The following is a 25,062-nucleotide window of genomic DNA, read 5'->3' on the forward strand; positions in this document are numbered from 1 at the left end:
CTGGGTGACAGAGTGAGACTCCATCTCAAAACAAACAAACAAACAAACAAAAAAACAAGAAATTTGTTTTCTAACAGTTCTGGAGCCTGCAAGTTCAAGACCAAGATGGCAGCAGGGTAGGTTTCCTCTGAGGCCTCTCTCCTTGGCATCCAGGTGGCTGTCCTCTTGCTGTCTTTTCACATGGTCGTCCCTCTGTGCACGCACATCCCTGGTGTGTCTGTGTGCTGAATCTCCTCTTCTTCTAAAAACACCAGTCTTATTGGAATAAGGCACATCCTAATGCTGTCATTTTAACTTAATAACCTCTTTAAAGGCCCTATATCCAAATGCAGTCACATTCTAACAGTAAGACACTGTGAGTTAGAGCTTTAACACATGGATTTTGGGGAAAACATTATAAAATGTGTATCAATGTGATTTTGACTTAGTAGCCATAGAAGAAGATGAGGAATGACATGAAAGTGAACCACTCTCCCTCTTTTCAGACTGAAATATCATCTAAGATCAGGATTTGCAGTGACCCACGTGGCAGTCAAGGGAGAGAGTGTCTTGCAGCAAGGCTTTTGGATTGTTCTTGGACATAAATGGTGAATTATACAAAGAGGAGTTTTTGGAAATATTTGCAGGTTTGGTATGGAGGCCACATGTCCTTTTAAGGAATCAGGTTCTAGAAATTGAAACCTACAGATTTTGAACTTGCCACTTGTACCACACACATTTTTCTAAACCTAGTCTCAGATTGAGAAAGAGAGACAGAAAGAGAGATCAGGAAATAAATATAATAAAAAGTGAATGAAAGTGCAATTTTGACCTAAGGACCTTAAGCAGAAAAACAGGTTACTCAGCTACTCCTTTTTTAAATAACGAAAATGAAATGAGAGAAAGTAGATGGTCATTATTATTACTATTATCACAGCTGTCATTCCCTCATTGATGCCTCGTTAAGATGGATTTTAGTAGATCACAATCTAATATACTACTATATTGAAGACACTTTTTTAAAAAAGCAAAAATAAATCAATAAAATGTTAAAAGACCACTGATGAAATCATGGAGTGGATTAATTAGGGTGTAATATTCAGATCATATTCTTGAGTTGGGCATTTTTTAAAATGTTGTTTTTCCTGTATTCATGTTTCTAGGGCGTTGGCTCTGACTTTAATCTGTCAGGATTCAAACCCTAACAGATCCTCATTCGAACATTTACCATGTGACTCAGGACAAGTTATTAACCTAAATTCCAATTTCCTCACCTATAAAATGGGAATAATGAGAACACTGATCCCAGAGAGCCACTATGGTGATTCCATGAGCGATGTGGGTGAAGTGCTGGGTATGGTGTTTGGCATAGAGCGAGTGCTAAATAAATAGTTTTAAACAACTGCTAGTGAAGGAGAGAAAAAGAGAACCTGAGTCATTAAGGTGATGTGTGAGTAGGATGCAAGCCAGGACAGAAGGTTACAGGGCCATATGTGGGTACAAATGGCCATGCTGAAGTAGGGACTCTGATATATTCCTCATTCTTACTCGGGGCAGTGATGAAAAAGGGAGAGCCTTGTTCAAAAAGCTGGACAACAGTGTCATTACAGGGGAAAGCATTTACCTTTTTTCCATGTACATCCTTTGTTCAACCACATGCTTCAAGGTTGCACATTCAAAACATACCTTCAAAGATTACAGCTTTTAGAGTTTCAAGACAGCAACAGATGAGCATTCAACCATGTGGGGGTTCTTCATAGGCCCTGTTTTCCTTGTTCTACTGTAATCCATAAATGGTTGGAAATGCAGACCACTGAAGAGAATTAATTAGGACTTTTCAGATTTAATGGGAACAATTCAAAGAGTCTAAGTTTCTTTTCCATCCAGCGTGAGTTTCCTATTTAGTGAAGTAAAGCTCAACTTTTATCAATAGTTTCATTCTCTTGTGGTATGTAAAACCTACACACACTCAGAGGCACCCAGAGGAAACTACACTCTGAGTTATTAGTAAATTCTCTCCAAGTGAAGCTGCCAAACACAGAAGCTTAAAACTAGATACAGCTTCTCAGGAAGCAGATCAAGCCCAGACTCTGCCACTGAGATTGAATTAACAGGAGCTCACAGGGCTCTCTTGGATAAGCCACATGGACCCAGGGTTGTTAATTTGGGAGGTTTATTAAATAGCGGATTAGGATTGAAAGCGAATGCATCAAAATGTAAGAAGCCCTAGTTTGTTGAAATGAGAAAATTGATACTGAATGAGGTTATCTCTTGAATCTGGGCAGTCTTGTTTTGGCTACCCCACTGCTCAACTCCTAATTAGTAGGGCAGAAAAAACAAGTCCACGTAGGCTAAATGGCCAAGAATAGATGAAAATCAGCTAATAATATAGTAATTAGGAACAAAGCCAAAGCAGGACCTGCAGATGCCCAAAGTTGAAGAGATGCAAAGAAAAGTGTTGCTATCCAAAAAAAAAAAAAAAAAAAAAAAGTACTTGTCAGAACAAGTTTTTCAACAGCATATACTTTTAGACTAAGATTGAGGATGAAGGTGACAGGAAAATGATTAGCCCCATAGTTAGGATTACTTATATTTAGAAAAATATTTGCAAAGCTTTCCTTCTCCTTTCATATCATAGCGAACACTGAAATTGTGTTGTTTTCCAACATAGCTGCTAATATTTGCAAAGTAATAATTTTGCAAAGGAAACAGCTTGAAATAAAGCATGCCTGATGCTTAGGAAGAAAGCAAAGAATGCTATCTTTGAGTAGTTACTATAGGTAGCTTTTGATCAGAACGAAGTGGCACAGAAACATCCGATTCCAGTCTCACTGGTGCTGTTTACTCCATGTGACCATTATCAGGTCTCACTTCTGCACTGGCTTTAGGATACTTCTACATCATATGAAAGTGCTGTACAATTTCCAAGTTCCTTCTAAGTCAAACATTCTGTTATTCTTCCCTCCAAAAGATCCTTCAAGACAATGGAAGACTAAATAGCAACTAGAACTTGCTTTGAAGTAAGGCTGACATTATCTGCAAACAGATTAAATCACTATGCTTATATTTTATACTGTTATGTATTTTCCCATTGCAGCTTCACAGTCTTCCCCAGACCTTATCTGTGTATATAGGCACACATGCATAACTGCCTTAACAGTAAAAACATGGTCAAAAATGTAAAAGTTCAGGATGCAAGTTTGATGACACACTTTATTTCTCCAAATTGAAATAAAACTAGATCAATCCCCTGGAAGAAGTTTAGAAAAGTGTTAGCCATCCTCTTCCCCTTTGATTTCCATGTCCAAAGATGGAGAAGCTGCCTTTCTAATCCTTCTGTTTCAGTTTCTTTAGCCAATGGGATTTTATTACCAAAAAATGTCACTGAAGAATCTGGCTGATAATGTCCAGCACTGCAGTTTTTCACTAGACCAATAATATAGTTTGGCTGTGTCCTCACCCAAATCTCATCTTGAACTGTAACTCCCATAATCCCTACATGTCCTGGGAGGGACCTGGTGGGAGGTCATTGAATCATGGGGGCAGGTTTTTCTCATGCTATTGTCATGATAGTGAATAAGTCTCATGAGATCTGATGGTTTTATAAAGGGGAGTTCCCCTACACAAGCTCTCTTGCCTGCCACCACATAGGAAGTGACTTTGCTCCTCATTTGTCTTCAGCTATGATTGTGAGGCCTCCCCAGCCATGTGGAACTGTGAGTCAATTAAACCTCTTTCCTTTATAAATTACCCAGTCTCAGGTATGTCTTTATCAGCAGCATGAGAACAGACTAATACCACCAGCATCCATCAGTGATCTTTCAAGGGAAGAACAGATTGGAAGTGCTTTTTGGTGCTGCATTCAACTCAAGTGTAGCCTACACCTAAGAAGTTTGCAATGTGGTTCCAGAAACCCTTTATAAAAATAAATAAGTTAGATGGTGCAATAACTCTGTATTCCATTAAAATCCTTTAACCTCTCTATGCTTAATTAACAAAGGGCAGGAGTATGAGACAAAATAATAATCACTATTTAGCTCAAGCCAACACATATTTGCTGAAATTCTGCTCCATATAAGCAACTTATTTTTGTTTGGGGAATACAAAGATGAAACCAACTCTGACTTCTACAGAGAAGGAAGGCTGCAATGGAGATGATGACAGTGTGAAACTGTTATTGGTGCAATAAGTGGAAAACCAAGCATCATGGTGTTGAGGGTGGAAGGTGGTAGTGGGGAGTTCATTTGTTGGGAGCATTTGTATTTTATTTTGACTTGGAGGTTAAGTAGAACTTCAACAGTGAGAGAAGTAAAGGAAAAAACAAAGACAATAACAATGGCGAATATTTTCTATGTAATTACTTGATAATATTACCATTTTTTTACTTTAGGGAGGAAATCTTGACCAATATATCTTATCTATGACATTGCACAGCCAGAACTTGAAAGCATATTTGGCATCAAGGCCTGAATTTATAAAACTGAGAGGGACAAATAGAATAATATATTTGGGCAAAGCCTGCAGTGTCCAGTGTCATTGTGGCATCTGGTGAAGGAGAAAATGTAGCAGAAGATGAAGTGGTAATTTAGTCCAGATTTTAGAAGGCTTTGACTATCAGACAATATCTGACACCATTTATTGAACAAGAGTCCTTGATACTGTCCATTCCAGGAAAGGAGGGAACCTTTACTATGACACATGGTTAAATGTTAATACCAAGGGTGCCCCCAGGTAGGCTAATAACTAGATGCATCTTCAAAATAATTTACATTTTGGGCTGGGCATGGTGGCTCACACCTGTAATCCCAGCACTTTGGGAGGCCGAGGCAGGCAGACCACTTGAGGTCAGGAGTTGGAGACCAGCTCCGCCAACATGGTGAAACTCCACCTCTACTAAAATACAAAAATTAGCCAAGCATGTTGGCATGAGCCTACAGTCCCAGCTACTAGGGAGGCTGAGGAAGCTGAATTGCTTGAACCCAGGAGGCAGAGGTTGTGCTGAGCCGAGATGGTGCCACCGCACTCCAGCCTGGGTGACAAAGCGAGACTCTGTCTCAAGAAAACAAACAAACAAACAAAAAACAAATTGCTTTTCATATATACTCAGCACTGAAAAGAGAAGCAGAGCACTGTTTGGGGAATGTTGAATAACAGAAGCTCATAGTGGAAATACTTGGACTTGCATATGTTTTTTCTGAGTTCTGGCTCCAAACTTTCATGTAAAATAAAAAAGAAAAACTGTTTTATGTCTTAGTTCATTTGAACTGCTATAAAAAAAAGGCCACAAACTGGGTGTCTTATGAAAAACAAAAATATATTTCTCACAGTTCTGGAGACTGGGAAGTCCAAGATCAAGGAGCCAGAAGATGCAGTGTCTGGTGAGGGTTTGCTTTCTGGTTCATAGATGGCACCTTCTTGTGGTGTTCTCACATGATGAAAGGGGCAAGGATGCTCTCTGGAGCCTCTTGTGTAAGAGCATTAAGCCCATCACCTAATCTAATCACCCCCAAGGGCTTTGCCTCCTAATATATCATATTGGTGATTAGGTTTCAGTACATGAATTTGGGGGGAACACTAACATTCAGACCACAGCAAAACCTCTCCATTAATTTGAAACAGAAGCACGTTATAAGATATTTTGTGATATCAATCATTATTTAGTCAAGTTTTTAAAGAGTTTCACTCCTCCTCCAAAGTTATCATTAGTATACAGACATTTGTCATGTTTTCTGATTGACTAAGACTTTCCCAACACCACTCCAACAAAGAAGCCATAGAAATGGCTTTGCCAGCTTCCTTGCAGCTTGAATTCAGGCATGTTACCTAGACTCCACCAAGTGAATACACTTTGCAAAATATGATAGAAAGCAAGCAGTGTGAGGAAGAAAGAATTACACATAATCCATTTTGTTTTTGTTCCCAAGATTAGTGAAGTATCCAGCATGTGAAGTCTGCAGTGGCTGCAGAAGTTGCAAAGGTGCTTTTCTTATGTCAAAGGGGCATTATGAAGGAACAATAGTGCTTTCAGAAGCAGTGAGTTCTTGATGCACAAGTAGTGCTGGTACAAATTGTATTTTCTAGTCAGTGTGCAGTTTTCTTACCAGATCAGTTTCACAGTGTGCTTTAAAGGCATTACCCTGAACACTTAGCCTCCAACTTTCTTTTAATAATTCTGTGATTTGCTAAATATATGTAATAAATTCCTTTTCTGTTTAATTGTCCTAAGCTAGCTTCTGTTGCCTAGATCTGCAAATCTCATCTAGTACACAATGTCCTTTCCTTTCTGAGAAACTTAATTTTCTCTACCTTATTCCGTATCCAGTGATGTTTTAAATCCTCAGCTGATGGTTTGGCAGCTCATATGGATGGGTGCTTCAGGCAGCTGTTGTGCCAACCTGCTATTGAATCTGGAACTAAATATTGGAAGGAGCAACTCTAGGAGAGCAGCCAGTGAAAGGACATGGGTCCCTATCTGGCAGATAAATGGTGGGGAGCAGTAATAGGAAGGCTTAGCTGTAGGGCTGAAAAATATTAGGCTCAGACTCACAGTTTATCTTGGACTAGTCTTGTGTACAGCTGTAGTAACATTTGAATTGTAAGTTGCTCCCATCTCCAAGTTTCCACAGTATATCACATCTTTGTTATAATATAACACATAATGTACTACAATTATCAGTTTATTCATCTGCCTCTATCATTAGACTGAAGCCAGAACAATAATACTGTTGTGTGTCCGTAACTAGTACTGATTGTTGGACTTTATGGAAGACCCAACAGCTTCTCTCTTCACCACCCCCCAAATTTTGAACAAATTGATAGATAAGATAAAAGGTTAACAGAAAACACTGATATAGTATTTTTCTAAGCGTTTTCCATTAACTCATTTAATCTATAACAATCTTGTAAAAGTAGGTACCTATATTACCTGCCTATTTTCTCAGCACATTGCCAAATATAAATCAACAGGAAACTTAAAATTAACACAATAATAAAATTCCAAATAGCTGAATATAAACTTCTTTCCAGGATCAAATTCCTTGGGAGAAAATTAAGTCTATAGATTAGATCCCCTTGAAAATTCAAATTTAGATAAAACAAAATTCAAAGTAATTTAAGTCCAAAATCAAATATTATTGTCCTTGGCTATGTAAAGCCAAAGAAAGGGAAGTCCTTTTTGTGTTCTACTCGGTCTTAGCTTAAGATATTTTCAATGCCTGGCTTCCTTTAGAAGCCACAGCCAGTGTTATCCATCACTAGAATACAGGCCATTTCTCTGAACCTCAGGAACTGAATTAGTTCAACGTCAAGTCTGTCATGTACCTCACTTTTTAATGAGTCCAAAGATTTTTTAAAACACAAGAGTTTATTCCAGTACTGCTGCAAACCTTAAACATACAGAAACAAAGGGAATTCCTACTCCTCAAGACCTCATTTCAGATAAAGAAACCCAGAGCTTAAGGCTTCCAAAGACCATAGCAAAGATTTGATGGTATCTGAAAAAAAGTGAGTAGGTGAAAAAAATTCTGATTTCAGCTCCAAATGTACCAATCAGGCCATCCCTGTTTAAGAAGACGATCAACTGTAAATTTAAACTCAATTAGGAGATCTTTTTGAACAAAAGTTAACTTGGGCACTGTACATTTATCTTATCTGAGATGGAATTTCACTTAGGGATTCTGTCTCCCATTCCAGAAAGGGCCATTTGACACTGCATTGTGTCTTCTAGAGTTTACAAATATGCAGTGGCGGCAGTCCAATCATCAAGTCTTTCTTGAAGTAACATTATTTCCCACTAAGTGCATTTAAACCTCCCTAATTTCCATGTTTCCTTTGATCCCTGTGTCCTTGGCACCCACGGAGCATGGGTCTTTCTGGAAGCATATTTGCTCACTCCCATGCCAGCAGGCATTCTTACTCCTCAATGTCTATTAACAAAACTACTTGCCATGGAATTGATTAGGCCTAAAACACCTGCCTCCTAGAAGAAGTTTCTCCCTTGTCGTATCTGACTTTCAGTTGAACCAATATCTGGGAACTGAAATAGTTTTTGCTGTTTCTGAAATTTGTAATGGGGGGCGCTGAGGACCAAAATCTCTAACATGTGCTCTTCAAATACAATAAAATACAGAAAAAGTTTAGTAATTAATCCAGGACAAATGTGAGGTCAATTTGTGTGTGTGTGTGTGTGTGTGTGTGTGTGTGTGTGTGTGTAGGAGAAGGGTGATTCTTGAGGCATCTAATAAGCCCCAGGACTTAGAGTTTTCTCCACATTCCCAATATTGAATTGAATTTGGAATAACAGATCTAATACAATCCAATACATTTTAATACTAGAACCTTACCAGAGCTCTGTGTATAGGTCTCAGCCACCTTAAGGCTTAAAAGTGACAAATATTCTACCTATTGTATCTAAAATGATCTTCCAATACCTGTTCAAGCTGAACTTGAGTAGTTTAAGATTTAGCCACGCAGCTGGTACCATAAGTAAGTACCTTCCATTGGGCTAAAAACTTTGGAGAGATCCACGACATAATTTGTGGGGCTTAGTGCAAAATGGAAACGTGGGCTGCTTCAAGTCAGAGGCCCTGTGTGACTGCACTGCTCCTACACGCATAATGAAGGCCTGCGCTGTGATGGCCCATAGGCTGTTTGTAGACCTGGCACCCCTTTGCCTGATTTCAACCCACCTCATTACCAATATAACTGATAGGAAACTTCACATAGATGTGAGACAAATTTGATTTCATGATGTGGAGCCTTTGTATTAGACAGATTGACAGTTCTGGTCACAAACAGTGAGGGAAACCACACATTGACCCCCATTAGAACAGAAATTTTACTGCTCAGCTTAACACATGTCCAAGAGCTGAGCAGGCAGGTTTCAAAAAGAAGGAAAAGAACAAGGGGAAGAGCTATGCCAAATTTCTACTTGGAACTTCCTCGTGGTAAGTCACTGCCACCTCCACTCCCAGGCTGGGAAAATGTGAGTGTGGAGGTTTAGAGATGCCAAGTGTGATATATTTACTGATGTTCTTCTTCTTGTAGAAACAGTGAGCCAGGGAATGGAGGTCCCCACCCCAGTGTCCCATATCCCTAGACAACATTGATGATAATGTCTAGCATGCTATAGGTGTTTAATAAATATTTTCTTAAAGAATAAATGTCCCAAAGCTAGTACACATGTAACTTGGTCCATGTTAGGATTTCAGGTAGAACTCTTTATTCTCCACAGAATCAAATAATTAATTTCCTGGCAGCACAGTATTAGACAACATCATTCACTATATATGTCATGAATTTCTTCCTCTCATCCTTTTCCTGTCTTGGTTTGCTGGACAACAGCTGCTTCTAAACCCCACTCTTAGTCAATGTGCAGGATAGAGTACTGGACAGAGAATCAAGAAAATTCAGTTTGAGTCTAGGTTTTGCTTCTGATTTGCCCAAGAATTTAAGACAATCAACTCACATCTTAGCCTTAGCTTTGTACTTCAACATGAAGCAGTCGAATTATAAACAAATCTTTCAACATTTCACATTGCCCAGCCATCTCTCAATCTAAAGCCCAGAACCTCCAAGGCAAAAGAAAGGCAACCCACTTCATCTGCAAAAGATATGTGTATGCAGACATTCTATATTAGGCTGAATATTTAAAGTAGATCCTCATAGGCATATTAAAAATGTCTGCCATTAAACAAAAGAGAGAGATGATTTAGTATGATAATATATGACAAGATAATTCTTCATATTTCAAAAGGTCATGGATAAATTATTCAGTGGTAAGTAATATTTTTAATATATAGCACATCATACTTCATGGAGGTTGACTGAAAACTAGCTTTTTTTGTAATTGTTATGAAATCCTGCCCATGCCCATAAAGAACCTCTGCATCCTGCCAGCAGCCATTCACTCCACTGGTGGGGAGTCTGTGAATCGGGTGATGATGGGGCTATGGTTCCATAGTCCTGACTAGTGGAGTTGTGATGGCAACAGAGCCACCACCACACTGTTGTTAGGACTTTTCCTTAGACTCAGGGCTGGTTCAGGGCAAAATTGTGAAATAGATGAGGTTTTATCTTTGGAACCATGTTACATGTCGCATGAACAATTCTACTTGACCATTGCCTCTGTGTCAGTATAAGGGACTGAGAGTACTGTCCCTACAACAGCGTGGCACACGCCAGTGTACGATTTATAGCAAGGAACAGGAAGGCAAATGTAGCATGTTCTTTGGGTTTTATATCTTATAGTATGTCCTGTGAACTTTGCCTGCTTTTTACTTTGTAAAACCTGGGTAACAGAAAGGAGAGAACCTACCTCTTACTCTCAAATAAGAAATGGAATGACGTATAGTTGTTATTTCTGCTAATAGTCTTGAGTATAACAGAGAATGAGTCCCCTTAAGAAGGAAGAAGCATAAGCAACAGCTTAACAACAGAAAAAATATTTTTGTTTCCTCCTTCTAAAAAAGAACAGATCTTGAATCTATACTCCAATATCAAAAAAAAAAAAAAAAAAAATAAGGCCTAAAAAACTCACTCAGAGCAAGCTGAGAAATCAATGTGGGTAATGTCTGATTATTAATGTCATTTTGAGTAGAAAATAAAAGGACTTTGAGGAAAACCTGTCTAAAATTTTTCTTAAATTTTCTTAATCACCCCCATTGTTTTATAAATGAATGAATAAATTTAAACTCTGAGAAAGAGTGTGACTCTTCCATAATATTTTGATAACTCCCCTAAAACAAATACATACCCCCTAGTTCTCTTAGGGTTGGTGTTGTTATTGGACTTATCTCCCACCATCCCACCACTCCCATATCAGGGCCACACAATAGGCCAAGAGTTTCAGCATCCTGAACACCAAACTTGCTAGAGTTTACTACATTGATCATATTTTTTTACACCAGTTGATGGGAGCAAAGCTACGTTCCAGGTAGCTAGATTCAAGCACTATATGCTCCTCTCTTCAATGCATCTTTCCCTGTCACCAGGCTATGCCCTGCCCTCTGGTTACAAATTCCACTCCCTCACTTTTTCTGTTCCCCATCTCAACTTAGGCATTAGACTTATTTATTTATTTATTTATCTTTGGAGTATCTTCACTTAAAAAAAATAAATTCCTTTTTTTTTTTGGTTGAAAAGTCTCTTTTTTACTCCCTTCAAGATCTTTTTCAGGGATCCTTTTCTACCCTTTGTCACCCAAGTCCAAGATTACTCCTTACCTACTCCTATGTTTAAGGCAATGGATAGCTCTGTACCTGATGGGTCTGGCAATCTTATGCATGATATGATGAAGTAGGGCAGGAGACATGGGAATAAATCAAGTACTCTGCTAATACCTGGAGGCCTGGAATCTTGGAAGGCAAGGATCTCCACTATGTATATTTTTTGCACTGGATCCTATGCCACAATTCCACTGAAGGTGTCCAGCATATTCAGGCTTTCCACCTGCTTTAACTCAAGGTAAGTGGATTTAATAACATTGAACACACAGACATGGTGGTGGCCTAATGTAGCCTTCCTATCAGGAGTCTTTTCTTTGTTAGAAAAATATTTAGGGGCCAGGAGCGGTGGCTCATGCCTGTAATTCCAGCACTTTGAGAGGCCGAGGCAGGCAGATCACTTGAGGTCAGGAGTTTGAGACCAGCCTGGCCAACATGATAAAACCCTGTCTCTATTAAAAATAAAAAAATTAGCCGGGCATGGTGGTGCACACCTAATCTTAGCTACTCGGGAGGCTGAGGCAGGGCAATTAATTGAATCCAGGAGGTGGAAGTTTCAGTGAGCCAAGATCGCACCACTGCACTCCAGCCTGGGCAACAGAGGGAGACCCTGTCTCAAAAAAAAAAAAAGAAAAAAAAAAAAGAAAAAAGAAAAGAAAAATATTTAGGGAGAACAGGGAAATATGCTTAATTAAAAGGCATGGCATAAATCCCAGATGGAAAATCACCCAGGAAGGCAACTTATTTCCTCTACTTATCAAATCAAAACTCTTTACTGTGAAGCCACCTGATGGTCACCTGGGCTCCATTTTCAGGGAGGCATTTGAGAAAGTAGTAGAGAATGCAGGATGGAGAAAGATACATTTGCCAGCCTTCTTATTGTAACTGAAGCCCTTCCCACTTCTGTGTCTTTTAAAATAGAAGCTCCAGAGTAAATCACAACACAGGAAAACTTAACAGCCTCAAATGGAAGCACAAGTTGTTGAATTTTGCAGTGAGTAATAAAACATCAAAGTAGTGGCAAATCCAAATAAGTGAACTGATTGGGGATGTGAGGTTTTTTGTTTGTTTTGTTTTTTGTTTTTTTAGGTTCAAGAAAATTTTTTTGACAATCCTTTTCTTCCCTTTCTTTCTCTATCTTTTCTTCCTTCCTTCTCTTTCTTTTTCCTTCCTTCCTTCCCCTCTCTCTTTCTTTCTCCTTCATTTCTCTATTTCTTTCCTTCCTTCCTTCTCTTCCTTTCCTTTCTTCCTATCTTCTCTACCTCTCTTTTCTTTCTCTTTTTATTTCTTCCTTTTTTCCTTTCTTTCCTTCCTTCTCTCTCCTTCTTCTCTTCTTTCCTTCCTTTCTTTTCTTTCTCTCTTTATTTTGAGACAGAGTCACCCTCTGTGGCCCATGCTGGAGTGCAGTGGTGTGTTCTCAGCTTGCTGCAGCCTCTGCCTCCCAGGTTTCAGTGATTCTCCTTCCTCAGCCTCCCAGGTAGCTGGGATTATAGGCACGCGCCACCATGCCTGGCTAATTTTTTTTTTTTTTTGTATTTTTAATAGAGACAGGGTTTCACCACGTTGGCCAGGCTGGTCTCGAACTCTTGACCTCAGGTGATCCGCACCCCCCTTGGCCTCCCAAAGTTCTAGGATTACAGGCATGAGGCACTGTGCCCGGCCTCTTCTCTCTCTTTCTTTCTCTTGCTCTCCTTCTCTTTCTCTCTCTCTCTCTTTCTTTATTTCTTTCAATGCTACTCTTGGCTAAAAACTTACTTGATTCTTAGCCCTAGCTGTCTTGATCAGCTAGACGGATTGGCAACTTTAGCACAGAAAAAGAGTGAAAATTCTTTGTCTCTGTTTCTTGATGCCTACATGGAGCATGTTTTGGGGAAGGAAAAAAATGCATTGTCTACTCGTATGATCCACTGAAAGAAATTTTACTTGTTCTTGTGAGGCATAGGTGCTCTCCAGGTAATAACACCAAATTTCAAGCTAAAATTGAGGACGGAGTGCATAGAAGACAGAGAATCAGTAAATTCATAATCAGGATAAAATGGACAACAATGTAGACTACACACATGGGTATATGGGTGGTGAGTATGAAAAATAGCCTTGGAAACATTCATATATAATATAGGCCTAGGAGCACTCATATTTCAGTTTAATTATATTGCATGGGAATGATGATTAATCTTTCAAAAGACTGTTGTGGAACTCTGTCATTCTATTTCACTCCCTTTGTAACTATCCTGGTACAAACCTTTAACATCTCTCCCTGAGCCTACAGCTACTTAGAAGTGTGCACAACTCCACTGTTTCTATCTTCTTGTCCACACTGTCAACAAAGGTTGTTCATAAACCACAAATGTCATTATGGTGCTCTGCTGCTGAACTGCCTCAATAGTCTGTTATTATCTATAGGATTAAGCCCAAAGTCCTTAGGAAGGGCTTGGCTTACCTCATTTCCCAGAATACCCAACACTTAGACTCTATCAGTGTACTTATCTGCCATATGTACGCTTCATTATCTTAAACTTGCATTTCCTCTTTTTCAACTTTTAAATTTTGAACCAATTTTAGGCTTACAGAAAAGTTGAAAAAATATTACAGTGACTTTTTGTATATTCCTCACTCTTCCCCTCCCATCTTGTGTAACAATAGTTTATTTATCAAGTAAAATGAATTGACATGAGGAAATACTATTAACTAAAGACCTTATTCAAATTCCACCCTTTTTTCCACTAACTTTTTTCTGGTTCCATATCATATTCAGAATCCCACCTTGTATTTTAGTTGTTATTTCCTCCTAGTCTGCCACAGTCTGTAATAGTTCCTTAGTCTTTCCTTCTCTTCCCTGACATTGACACTCTTGAAGAGCAATGATCAGTTGTTTTGCTAAATGTTCTTCAGTTGTGGTGTGTCTCATGTTTTCTTAGGATCAAAGTAAAGTTATGCTTTTTTCTTTTTTGGCAAGAACACCACAAAATGATGTTGTGTTTTTCTCAGTGCATCATATCACAGAGCTCATAATGTTGATAGGTCTTATTACTGGTAATGCTGTTTTCCATTCATTAGAAGGTTGTTTCTGCCAGATTTTACCTCTGTAAAATTATCTTTGCCTTTGTAGACAATCATACCCTGGAGGAGATGCTTTGAGGGTATGTAAATTTTGTTTTTTCTTAAGATTTACCCAATAAATTTAAGACTCATCAGTGAATTTTACCTGCAATAACTATTACTGATGCATGATCAGTTTCTCATTTTTTCCTCTTTGCCTTAAATGCCTATCTCCATTTTTTTCTCCTATCTATTTCCTGCTTATATGGCTTATCCCAGCTGAAGATTGTTTCTTCTCTGGGAAACCTTTTCACATTGTCCCAGGCAGACCAAGACTTCATCTCTCCATATTTTCTTAGCACCCTTGCACATAGCTCCACAATACTCACCACCATGGTTACTGGTTGTTTTGATTTCCCTGGGAGTCACTCTATGTGACTGCAAACTCCTAGAGGGAGATAACACTGTCTCAGCATTTTTTCTAACAATACCTAATATGGGATCTGGTCTATAAGAGACTATCATTATGTGCTTAGAGAATAAATGAATGCATCTATTATATTATTTCCAAAATTCATTTTCAGGCTGAAAAATTTAGAGTTTTTTTGTTACAGTTAGAAAAATAACGTTCAGTTCTAAAATCGTGATTCTGATTTTCTGCCAAAATTTTCCCCTTTGGGAAATTTATGATGTTTCTGGAATCAGCCCTATTTAATCTAAAAACAAGTTAAAATCGTGTTTTCTACTTTTTTCCCCTACCTTCCCTCATTATACAATGGTCTACTCTTCTCCCCTCCACTTGTGATTCTGTTTGTACATATATTTTCAGGAGCAAAAGTAAATAAACTACTCATTCATTCATTTTGCTAAGCTTCTGGGTGTCTCTTACCCTGGTCCTGACATGAGCTTCTTTAATCCTTGGTGGTATATTTCCTCCTGTGTATTTGCTTTATTCTGTAAATTTAAGGGAGGTTTTATAAAACTGCCTTTAATCCCCTGAAGATACAAAACAAACAGTGGAAATTGACTCTTTGCCTAACAGTTATTATCATTATTATTACATAATCAGTGGTTTGAGTCATAATGCAGGAAACCAGATGTCAATGTGGATGAATGGCCTGCCTGGCCATGTGCCCACAGACAATGTCAGCAGTAGCTGATAAAACTGTAAATGCTAAAAGGAACTTGTCCTCCTTCTCCATCATCATCGTCATCATCACAATCATCTCATCACCCTTGTCTTCATCATGAAAACCTGTACCACATTGTTTGTGGTTTGCACAGAACCATGACTAATACCAACCACACCTAATCCTTTAACATCACTCCTTTGAACCCTCTTAGCACTTGAACCCTCATACCACCTGATTTTAACAGTTCCTTTAGACTGCATTGTAGCCATTTGGTGCTGTGATCTTGTCCTTCTTGGCCTACTTTCTCTCTACCTTTACTAGGCCAGGAATTTCATAAAGACTGAGATAAAAGATTATACTCCTCTTTATCATTAGTATTTATTGCTATATGAGAACATAATAGGGGCTCAATAACTGTTTGTGGAATTAAACTGTTTGTCTTCCATGTAAAGCAGAAAAAGAAATGATAAATTGGGGAAAGGCATGTAAAAAATTAATAATTCCAGAATCAAAGCTCAGCTTTTTCATTGATAAAATGTTATCGATAAGCACATTTTGTGTATAGACAAGGCTTCTAGACGTTCTGAGAAGTTGGAAACATGGATTCTAAAATGAGACCTGCAAATACCAAAGATTCATTCAGACTTGATTTATGTAATACTTTTTTAATAGTGGGAGACGTTCAACAAAAGGAATAGTCTAAATGTTATTATTTTTGCATCCATAACACTATTAAGACTCTACCACCTCTTAATTCCTATTTACAGTGTCTTAGTTCTGATCTTCATTATTTTTCACCTGGATAATTGCAATATCTTCAAATGATTTTCCATTTTCTAATTTCTTCTCCCTACAGTTCATAAGAGATAGCTCCCCATTAATCATAAGACCAAGTTCTAATTCCTTTTTATAGCATATTCAATTTCAACCACCAGTCTATTTTATTGGACTTCTCTGTTACCATGCTCCTTCTGAGAGCTGCACTCCAGCTACCTAGAACTTCACAAATCTCCAGGAGAAAGTACACCATGCTCTTTATTATTCCATGCATTTCTTCATAGTGTTTCTATAACCTGAAAGGCCCATCGCTTTGATTTGATCTTTCAGGATCCACATAAAAATATTATCCTCTCAATGAGATATTCTATAAGTTTATAAGACAGAATTGTTCCGTCTCCATCATTTGCCATAGAACTCCATTTGTAGCTTTATAACATTTGTCATATTGTGTTAGAATTACAGTTTATCCTTGAATAGCACAGATTTGGACAGCAAAGGTCACTTACATGTGGATTTTTTTCAATAGAATTTACACTCAGTGTTCCTTCCTTTTCTGTCTCATCTTCTACCTCCTTGATCACTTCTGCCTCTGCTACCCCTGAATCAGCAAGACCAGTCCCTCCTCTTCCCCTCCTCAGCCCATTCAACATGAAGATGATGAGGATGAAGATCTTTATGAAGATCTACTTCCACTTAATAAATAGTAAAAATATTTTCTCTTCCTTGCAATTTTCTTAATGAAATTATCTTTTTTTCTAGCATACGTTATTGTAAGAATACAGTATATATTACAGATAGTATACAAATTATGTATTAACTGACTGTTTATGTTATTGGTAAAGCCTAATGATCAACATTAGGCTATATTGCTAGTTAAGTTTTTGGGGAGTCCAGAGTTATACTCAGATTTTTGACTGTGCAGGGAGTCAGCACCACAAAGCCTCTCATTGTTCAAGGATCAACTGCATTTGTTTATCAAACTGAAGTTCCCTAAGGCTAACAGCTGTTCATCTCTGCACCAACACCTAGAGAAAAATTGTAGTAGGCTGAGGTGTTCTAACAAACCCCGAAACCTCTGTTGTCTATCACAATGAGAACTCAATGTTCACTCGTGAAAGACCACTGTGATAGCAGGGGTGTGGATGTGGGGGTGGGGTGACATTTTCTGTTCCACACAGTCACTCAGGGACCCAGGCTTCTTATATATTATGGCAACTCTATGTTCAGTATGTAGACTCCAAATGTTCCACAGGAGCAGTAAGTGGAAGGTTGCATGTGGGAGATTTTTATAGGTGAGACCTGGAAATGGTATACAATTTTATATCACATTCCAGTGTCATAACAGATGCAATCTAACTTAAAGCATTCTGGGAAATGTAGTTTAGCTGTGTGCCCAGAGAACAGAAGAGAGACATGGATATTGGAAGGGACAGCATCCTCTGCCATTCTGCTCAGTAAATGGGTGCAGAATGAATACAATGGAAGGCTCTTTTTAATCTGAAGCCATTGTGGTGAATGGAGGAACAAAGAAAATAGTTTTTGAATCCAAAAATCTTGGTTTCAGACTATAGCAATGAAAGCCAATTAGTAGCTCTGTGACCATGGCAGGTACCTAAAACTCTCTAAACCTCAAGTTCTTCATCTGTAAATGAAGTTGGTATGGGGATTAACTGAGAAATACATGAAAAGCATCTGGAGCATAGGAGGAGCTATTTAATAATCATCCTCATTTCATTCAAATCAATATTTTTAAGAATCTGCAATGTGCTAGAGCAGTGTGCTAAGCATTCGGAATAGAAAGACCTATTAAAGGCATCCCTCACCTTTAGGAAATCAGAGACCAATTGTTAGGTCACAATTGTAGATAAGAAAATGAACATTTAAAACACACTGTGATAAACAGGCTTTTTATTATACAGGGTAGCAAAATACCCAATAAACATGAAAAATGACTCAAATCATGAATCACTTTTACGTATGTATAGGAACCCATCATGGTTGTAAGTTGGGTAAAATTAAAGATACGAACAATACAAAGTGTTGGCAAGTTTATGAAGCAACTGTGACTCTCTTGCCTAGCTGGAGGAGTGGAAATTGGTCCAATCACATTGAAAAAATATTTTAAAGTACTTACTAAATCTTAACATACACATATCCTGCAACCTAGCAATCGCATTCCTAGACATATGCCCAACAGAAATGAGTGCTTATGTTCACCATAATATACAAGAACAGCCTCTTTATGCATAGAAGTGCTAAACTGGAAAGAAACCAAATTAGCTGGGAAGAAGCCTGAATGAATTTTCTGGGGTGATGAAAGTGTTCCTTATCTTCATATGGATGCCAGTTACACCTAAACAGTTAAGAGCTGTATGTTTCAATGTATATAAATGATGGTTTAATAATAACAGTAATAACAATAATGTCAACAATATTAAAAAATACATTTTAAAACAGGTGCTTCCAAATTGGCAGTTACAAGGGTCTCTTATCATATTTCAGTTGTAGTTTTTGATGATGACTCCTATATCCTAGGATATGCCACAGCTCCCCCTGCACCCAAAGAAAGTTTACCAATGACACACACCATCTCAATAATTCTCTCCACATTATTAACGTTATTTGTATTAAAAACTCATCCTCAGTTTTGGCATTAAGGTGATCCAGCTATTTCATGGCTGTTCTGCATACTAATCAGGTTACAGTTCGAAACAGACACAAACATACCCTCCATTTTGGACAAGAACCCAGACAGCTATTTTGTTTCTCTGCTTGCCAAACAAAATTCACTATATAAATTAACCTTCTTCATTAAAAAAAGGATAATCTTCACCTCGGTGATAAAACATACCAAGTAGGGAAGAAAATATTTTATTGCAAATCTGACTTAAAATAAGAGGTAATAAAACCAATTTCTTCTAAGTCTTCCAAAGCACTGTCTTTTAAAGACTATATCTTGTTCCCTAATTATAAGGTAATTCACGAATATAGTAAAAATATTTGGAAATATAAAACAGAAAGACTATATATAACATATATGAAATATATGTTCTCTTTTAAAAGCTATTTAGACTAAAAAATTACAAAGTAAAGAATAAAAATTAGAAAAAATTTCAAAATCACTCACAATTTCCCCAAGCAAATAAAGTAAGCATTATAAATATAATGCCATAGGAGAATTGCTTATTGCTTTGGTTTTCCAGGTGTTAGGTCTCTGCATCTGTGAATAGAAGAATGGAATGGGGAGTGTCTTCCCATCTGGCTCCATTTGCAATATAAATATTATAATTTTTCTTTGATTACATTATTTTCCAATTTTTGTTTATCCTAAATTTACATATTTTGCTAGTTCTATATTTTCATTTGCATATACTTACAATTGTATTTTAATGATAGTTGGAAGAGGCTACTCACCCCTTTAAATCAGAAATCTATTATTTTTAGGATGGGGAATGCCAATGAATTGATAGTGAGTAAGATCTACTGCCAAAGAGTGTAAGGGTTTCCATAAAGTGTGGGTTGTTAAGGACGCTAGATGCAATTTTTGGCAGAAAAGGCCAAAGTAAAAAATTTCTAAAGGCAAAGAAAAACATGGAGAAAATTGTCCTATAATCATTATACAATAACAGATTCCTCTGTTGGCCACCTCGCAGATTCCTGTGTGAAAAGAGGAGGTAGAGTTGGCCTGCCCATTTAGTCTCATTGGAATCATTCCTCTTTTCTACTTGGTGACATTTGCTTCAGATCATTAGCAACCAAGAAAGCAGTATGTAAGCTGGCAGAAAAATTGAAATGGACACTGTGGTGTATTTTTCCCCCTAAAGATCAAGGTTCAGATACTCAGGGATGTAAAATAGACAAAAAAGCAGTCACCTATGGAAAATATGATGTGAACTTTATCCCAATAATGTAATATTATTTGGTATAGAAATCATCTCCTTCACCTTCAAGAGGAAAGCTTTGAATATAATTTACCTGACTTCTGTGGCTCTTGGTGATAGTTTCTCATGGAGAGGCTTGTAGGTTGGTCTCTGCTAAATGTGCCACTTTTATGGAATCATAAATGGTGCTTTTCTTGAAGAAGGACTAATTTAATCAGAAATAGAATTCTAAACCTCTTAATATTCTATAGGGCTCTTATAAAGTTTGACATTGTAAAATCTGAAATAGCTCACAGAAAATAAAAAAAAAATACTTAGGATTTCAGATAAGAAATGCAACATCTTTATACTTGGGAGAGGGAGAAACCTAGCAGTAGAGCATTGGACAAAATGCCCTATCTCATGCACATCTTGTCTAACCCTGGTTACATCGAATTCTCTACCTACTCTACACCTGCTTCCTAGCAAGATGAGCAGTGGAACTTCCTAAGCAGTTGGACATGGCTAGAGGAAAACCACACAGCCTTATTAACTGGCATCACTTCATTTTTAAGACTGTAAACTTGAAGTTGTCCCATTGTTAGGCTATCCTCATGATACCAGCTGACACTTCAAAGTGCCAGGCTCTGTTTTGAACTCCCAAGCAACTCTATGGTGTAAGTACCATTATTATCTCAGTTTTACAGATCACAAAACTAAGGCACTTAGCTGGATGTTACTTGAGGCCATGATCATAAGTGACCCAGCCAAGACTGGATCGCAGACACTCTGGCCCAACAGTCTGTGACTAGTAAGTAGCACATTATACTGCCTCTGTTGTCATCTCTCATGTTTCTAGTAAACTTGGTTCTCCACTGTTAGAGACCAATATTTACACACATACTTTCTCTTAAAACCTACAAGAATCATTCCCTTTTCTTCATTCTTAATTGATGACCTTGGTTTTATTTCCCTGAAAAAATAAATTATTCAGAAAAGGACACATTCATCTTTCCATCTACCAAGCTCCACGAATTTCTATCCATACACCCTACTCTCTTTCCTGACACAGTGGGTAGGGTAAAACATCCTTATTCAGATAAGGCTGCTGGAAACTGTTCCTCCAAAGTGTACTGATTTCCATTCCCTCTTGTCTGCTCTGGAATTTGGCTCTTACATCAAATTTATTCTTTCTATTGGATAATTCCTATCAGCTTATGTAGTAGAGGCAGTGATGCTACAAAAGATTTTCTTTGCTATCCTACATTTCCCATGGCCTTTGCAGTTACGCAGGTCATGTGACTAGTTTTGACCAATTAGATGTGCATCACTTGCAGGCTAAGAGTGAAAATCCCATTCATTCTTTTCTAGTGTTTCTCTTCTGCTGCAGCAATGAGGTGTCTCCATATTTGAGATACGGAGCAGATATATGACAGATACAAAACAACAGAGCCTCAATCAGACTGTGAACTCGAGAAACTAGGGAGCATAGCCTTCAGCCAACCCTCCTTGAATATATAGCATAAGTGAAAAATAAACCTTTGTTGTAGACCACTGAGATTTATGGTCCAATTTGTTACTGCAGCATAATTTAGCCTATCCTGACCACTAAAGCATGTAAACACATTGTGAAAAAAAAATCTTGATCCTATATCTCCTCCAGCTATCTTCAATTTTTTCTTCTATGTTTAGAAAAAAAAAGAAATGAGTGCATTTTCTATATTCACTCTTCACTTTCTCACCTTCCATTTTCTTTTAACTCTATAATCAGGCTTTTATCCTCACTCATCACTCTTATCAGTGTCACCAGTGCTTTTATTGCAGTAAATTCATCAGTCAGTTCTATGTCCTTGTATTACTCAAACATTCAGAAAGCTCAGAATACTCTCTTTACTTTATTCTCTGTGAAGTTTATTTTTTGCACAGATGGCTCCTCTTCAGTTCTGTTTGCTGGTTTCTTTTTCTATATCCTTCTTTGAATATTGTCCTGCCCCCATTCTTGGTCCTTTGCCCTGTTCTCTCTCTGCCTCCCTCAGCAATCTGCCATTTCCGTGATCTCATATAGAATCTACATGTTGATAATGTCCCAATTTGTATTCCCCATCCAGACCTCTTCCAGACTCCAGACTCATCTCTAACTTACTGTTAGTAGTACTAGCAGTAGTTCACAGGTGCTTAAAACATAACTTGTTCATATCCACATTTTTTTCCACCTCAAATCCCTAAAAGGTCTCTCTCACTATCTTCTTCATCTCAGCCACCAACATTCTACTTGCTGAAGCTCAATCAGGGCCTGTGCTTAAAGGAAGGTAGTACACTGCTCTTCTAGATGCCTAGATATTGAAATGATTCATTCCATAATCTCAAATCTTTCTCTCACCTCAACAGCCCCACATCCAGGTCACTAGAAAGCCCTACTGGGTTTACTCTCAAAATATATCCAAGTCCCGTTACTTTTGTTCACTTTTTCAAATATCACACTTCTCTGAGATAACCATCTCCTTCACAGACTTTAGATATTATCTCAAAACTGTCTGTGTTGCTTCTACTCTTGCCACTCAATAGTTTATTCTCCACACAGTCACCAGAGAGCTCCTTCAAACTACACCTCAGATTCTGTCCCTTCCCCTGCAACACTCTACCACAGTTTCCCATTGCATGGGGGAGGACAGCCCAGCTCTTTGCTGTGGGCTCCCTTGTTCTCTGTGGCTCTCCAACCTAACTCCTGCTTTGCTCCTCCTCACTCCTTCCACTTCAACCACACTAGTTCCTTAAAGTTTTTACAATACCATGAGCTCATTTTCTGCTCCCAGGCCCTTACACCTGCCATCCCCTTCCTTTTGAACACTTCTTTGTCAGAACTTTATACAGCTTGCTCTTTCATATCTTCAGGTCTCTTCTCAAATATCACCTCAGGAAAGCCTCTCCTGACATCTAAAGCAGTCTTACCACTTCCTACATTGCACCTCCTTTAATTTCTTGGTAACATCATGATATGCAAGTATATTTTGGGGGGTTTTTTGAGACAGAGTTTCACTCTGTTGCCCAAGCTTGGGTGCAGTGGTGCAGTCTCGGCTCACTGCAAACTCCACCTCCTGTGTTCAAGCCATTCTCACCCCTCAGCCTCCTAAGTAGCTAGGATTACAGGTGTGTGCCATCACACCCAGCTAATTTTTGTATTTTTATTAGAGATGGAGTTTTGCCATGTTGGCCAGGCTGGCCTTGAACCTCTGACCTCAAGTGATCTGCCCGCCTTGGCCTCACGAAGTCCTGGGATTATAGGTGTAAGCCACCATACCCAGCCTGAAAGTATATTTTTGCATATCCTTCTTTGCCTAACTATTCGGTTTTTGTCTTCCCTACAATAACTTAAATATAAGGAGTTGTCTTGTTTGTCCCTGGATTTCTAGTGCTCTGAATAGAACCTAGCATCTAGTACATGTTCCATGTCTCTCTGTTGAATAAATGAATGATCAACCATACATCCAACTTTGTATATAGTACCTTTGAAATGGTATCATTTTTCTTCAGATTTTAATTCCCAAAGAAAGGGAAAGAGTCAAGCAAAAAATCTCCCTGATATAGAAAAGATCACAAATCATCCCTATCTGAGCAGAGACCAAGTCTACAAGTAGTTCACAAATTGTCTGGGTTTTGGTCAATTTATTTTTTTTTAATTATACTTTAAGTTCTGGGATACATGTGCAGAATGTGCAGGTTTGTTACATAGGTATACATGTGCTATGGTGGTTTGCTGCACCTATCAACCCATCATCTACATTAGGTATTTCTCGTAATGCTATCCCTTCCCTATTCTCCTGCCCCCTACAGGCCCCGGTGTGTGATGTTGCCCTCCCTATGACCAGTGGGGTGTTAAAGTCTCCCACTATTATTGTGTGGGAGTCTAAGTCTCTCTTTATAGGTCTCTAAGAACTTGCTTTATGAATCTGGGTGCTCCTGTATTGGGTGCATATATATTTAGGATAGTTAGCTCTTCCTGTTGTGTTAATCCCTTTACCATTATGTAATGCCCTTCTTTGTCTTTTTTGATCTTTGTTGGTTTAAAGTCTGTTTTATCAGAGACAAGGATTGCAACCCCTGTTCTTTTTTTTTTTTTTTTTTTTTTTTTTTTTTTTTTTTGCTTTCCATTTGCTTGATAAATAGTCCTTCATCCCTTTATTTTGAGCCCATGTGTGTCTTTCCACATGAGATGGGTCTCCTGAATACAGGACACAGATGGGTCTTGACTCTTTATCCAATTTGCCAGTCTGTGTCTTTTAATTGGAACATTTAGCCTGTTTACATTTAAGTTTAATATTGTTACGTGTGAATTTGGTCCTGTCATTGTGATGCTAGCTGGTTATTTTGCCTGTTAGTTGATGCAGTTTCTTCATAGTGTCGATGGTCTTTATAATTTGGTATGTTTTTGTTATGGCTGGTACCAGTTTTTCCTTTCTATATTTAGTGCTTCCTTCAGGAGCTCTTGTAAGGCAGGCCTGGTGGTGACAAAATCCCTCAGCATTTGCTTGTCTGTAAAGGATTTTATTTCTCCTTAGCTTATGAAGCTTAGTTTGGCTGGATATGGAATTCTGGGTTGAAAATTCTTTTCTTTAAGAATGTTGAATATTGGCCCCCACTATTTTCTGGCTTGTAGGGTTTCTGCTGAGAGATCCTCTGTTAGTCTGATGGGCTTCCCTTTGTAGGTAACCCGACCTTTCTTTCTGGCTGCTCTTAACATTTTTTCCTTCATTTCAACCTTGGTGAATCTGATGATTATGTGTCTTGGGGTTGCTCTTCTCAAGGAGTATCTTTGTGGTGTTCTCTGTATTTCCAGAATTTGAATGTTGACCTGTCTTGCTAGGTTGGGGAAGTTCTCCTGGATAATATCCTGGAGAATGTTTTCCAACTTGGTTCCATTCTCCCTGTCACTTTTAGATACACCAATCAAACGTAGGTTTGGTCTTTTCACATAGTCCCATGTTTCTTGGAGGCTTTGTTCATTCCTTTTTGTTCTTTTTTCTCTTGTCTTCATGCTTTATTTCATTAAGT

The 25,062-nt window shown here is 38.2% G+C and overlaps 1 long non-coding RNA gene across 2 annotated transcripts; it reads right to left on the bottom strand.

The window, feature by feature from the left end:
- Positions 1–461: 461 nt before the first annotated feature.
- On the bottom strand, positions 462–16,816 carry LOC105373636 (uncharacterized). 2 transcript variants are annotated; one of them, XR_923367.2, is made up of 3 exons: positions 15,130–16,816; positions 14,630–14,688; positions 462–1,792 (listed from the first exon to the last, which is right to left on the bottom strand). It is a non-coding gene; the product is annotated as an uncharacterized LOC105373636 (long non-coding RNA). The 2 variants fall into 2 exon arrangements; XR_923366.2 differs by lacking the exon at positions 462–1,792 and adding an exon at positions 12,875–13,175.
- Between the last annotated feature and the right edge of the window lie 8,246 nt (positions 16,817–25,062).

The sequence above is a fragment of the Homo sapiens genome, chromosome 2 (genome assembly GCF_000001405.40).
Source record: "Homo sapiens chromosome 2, GRCh38.p14 Primary Assembly".
Lineage (NCBI taxonomy): Eukaryota > Metazoa > Chordata > Mammalia > Primates > Hominidae > Homo > Homo sapiens.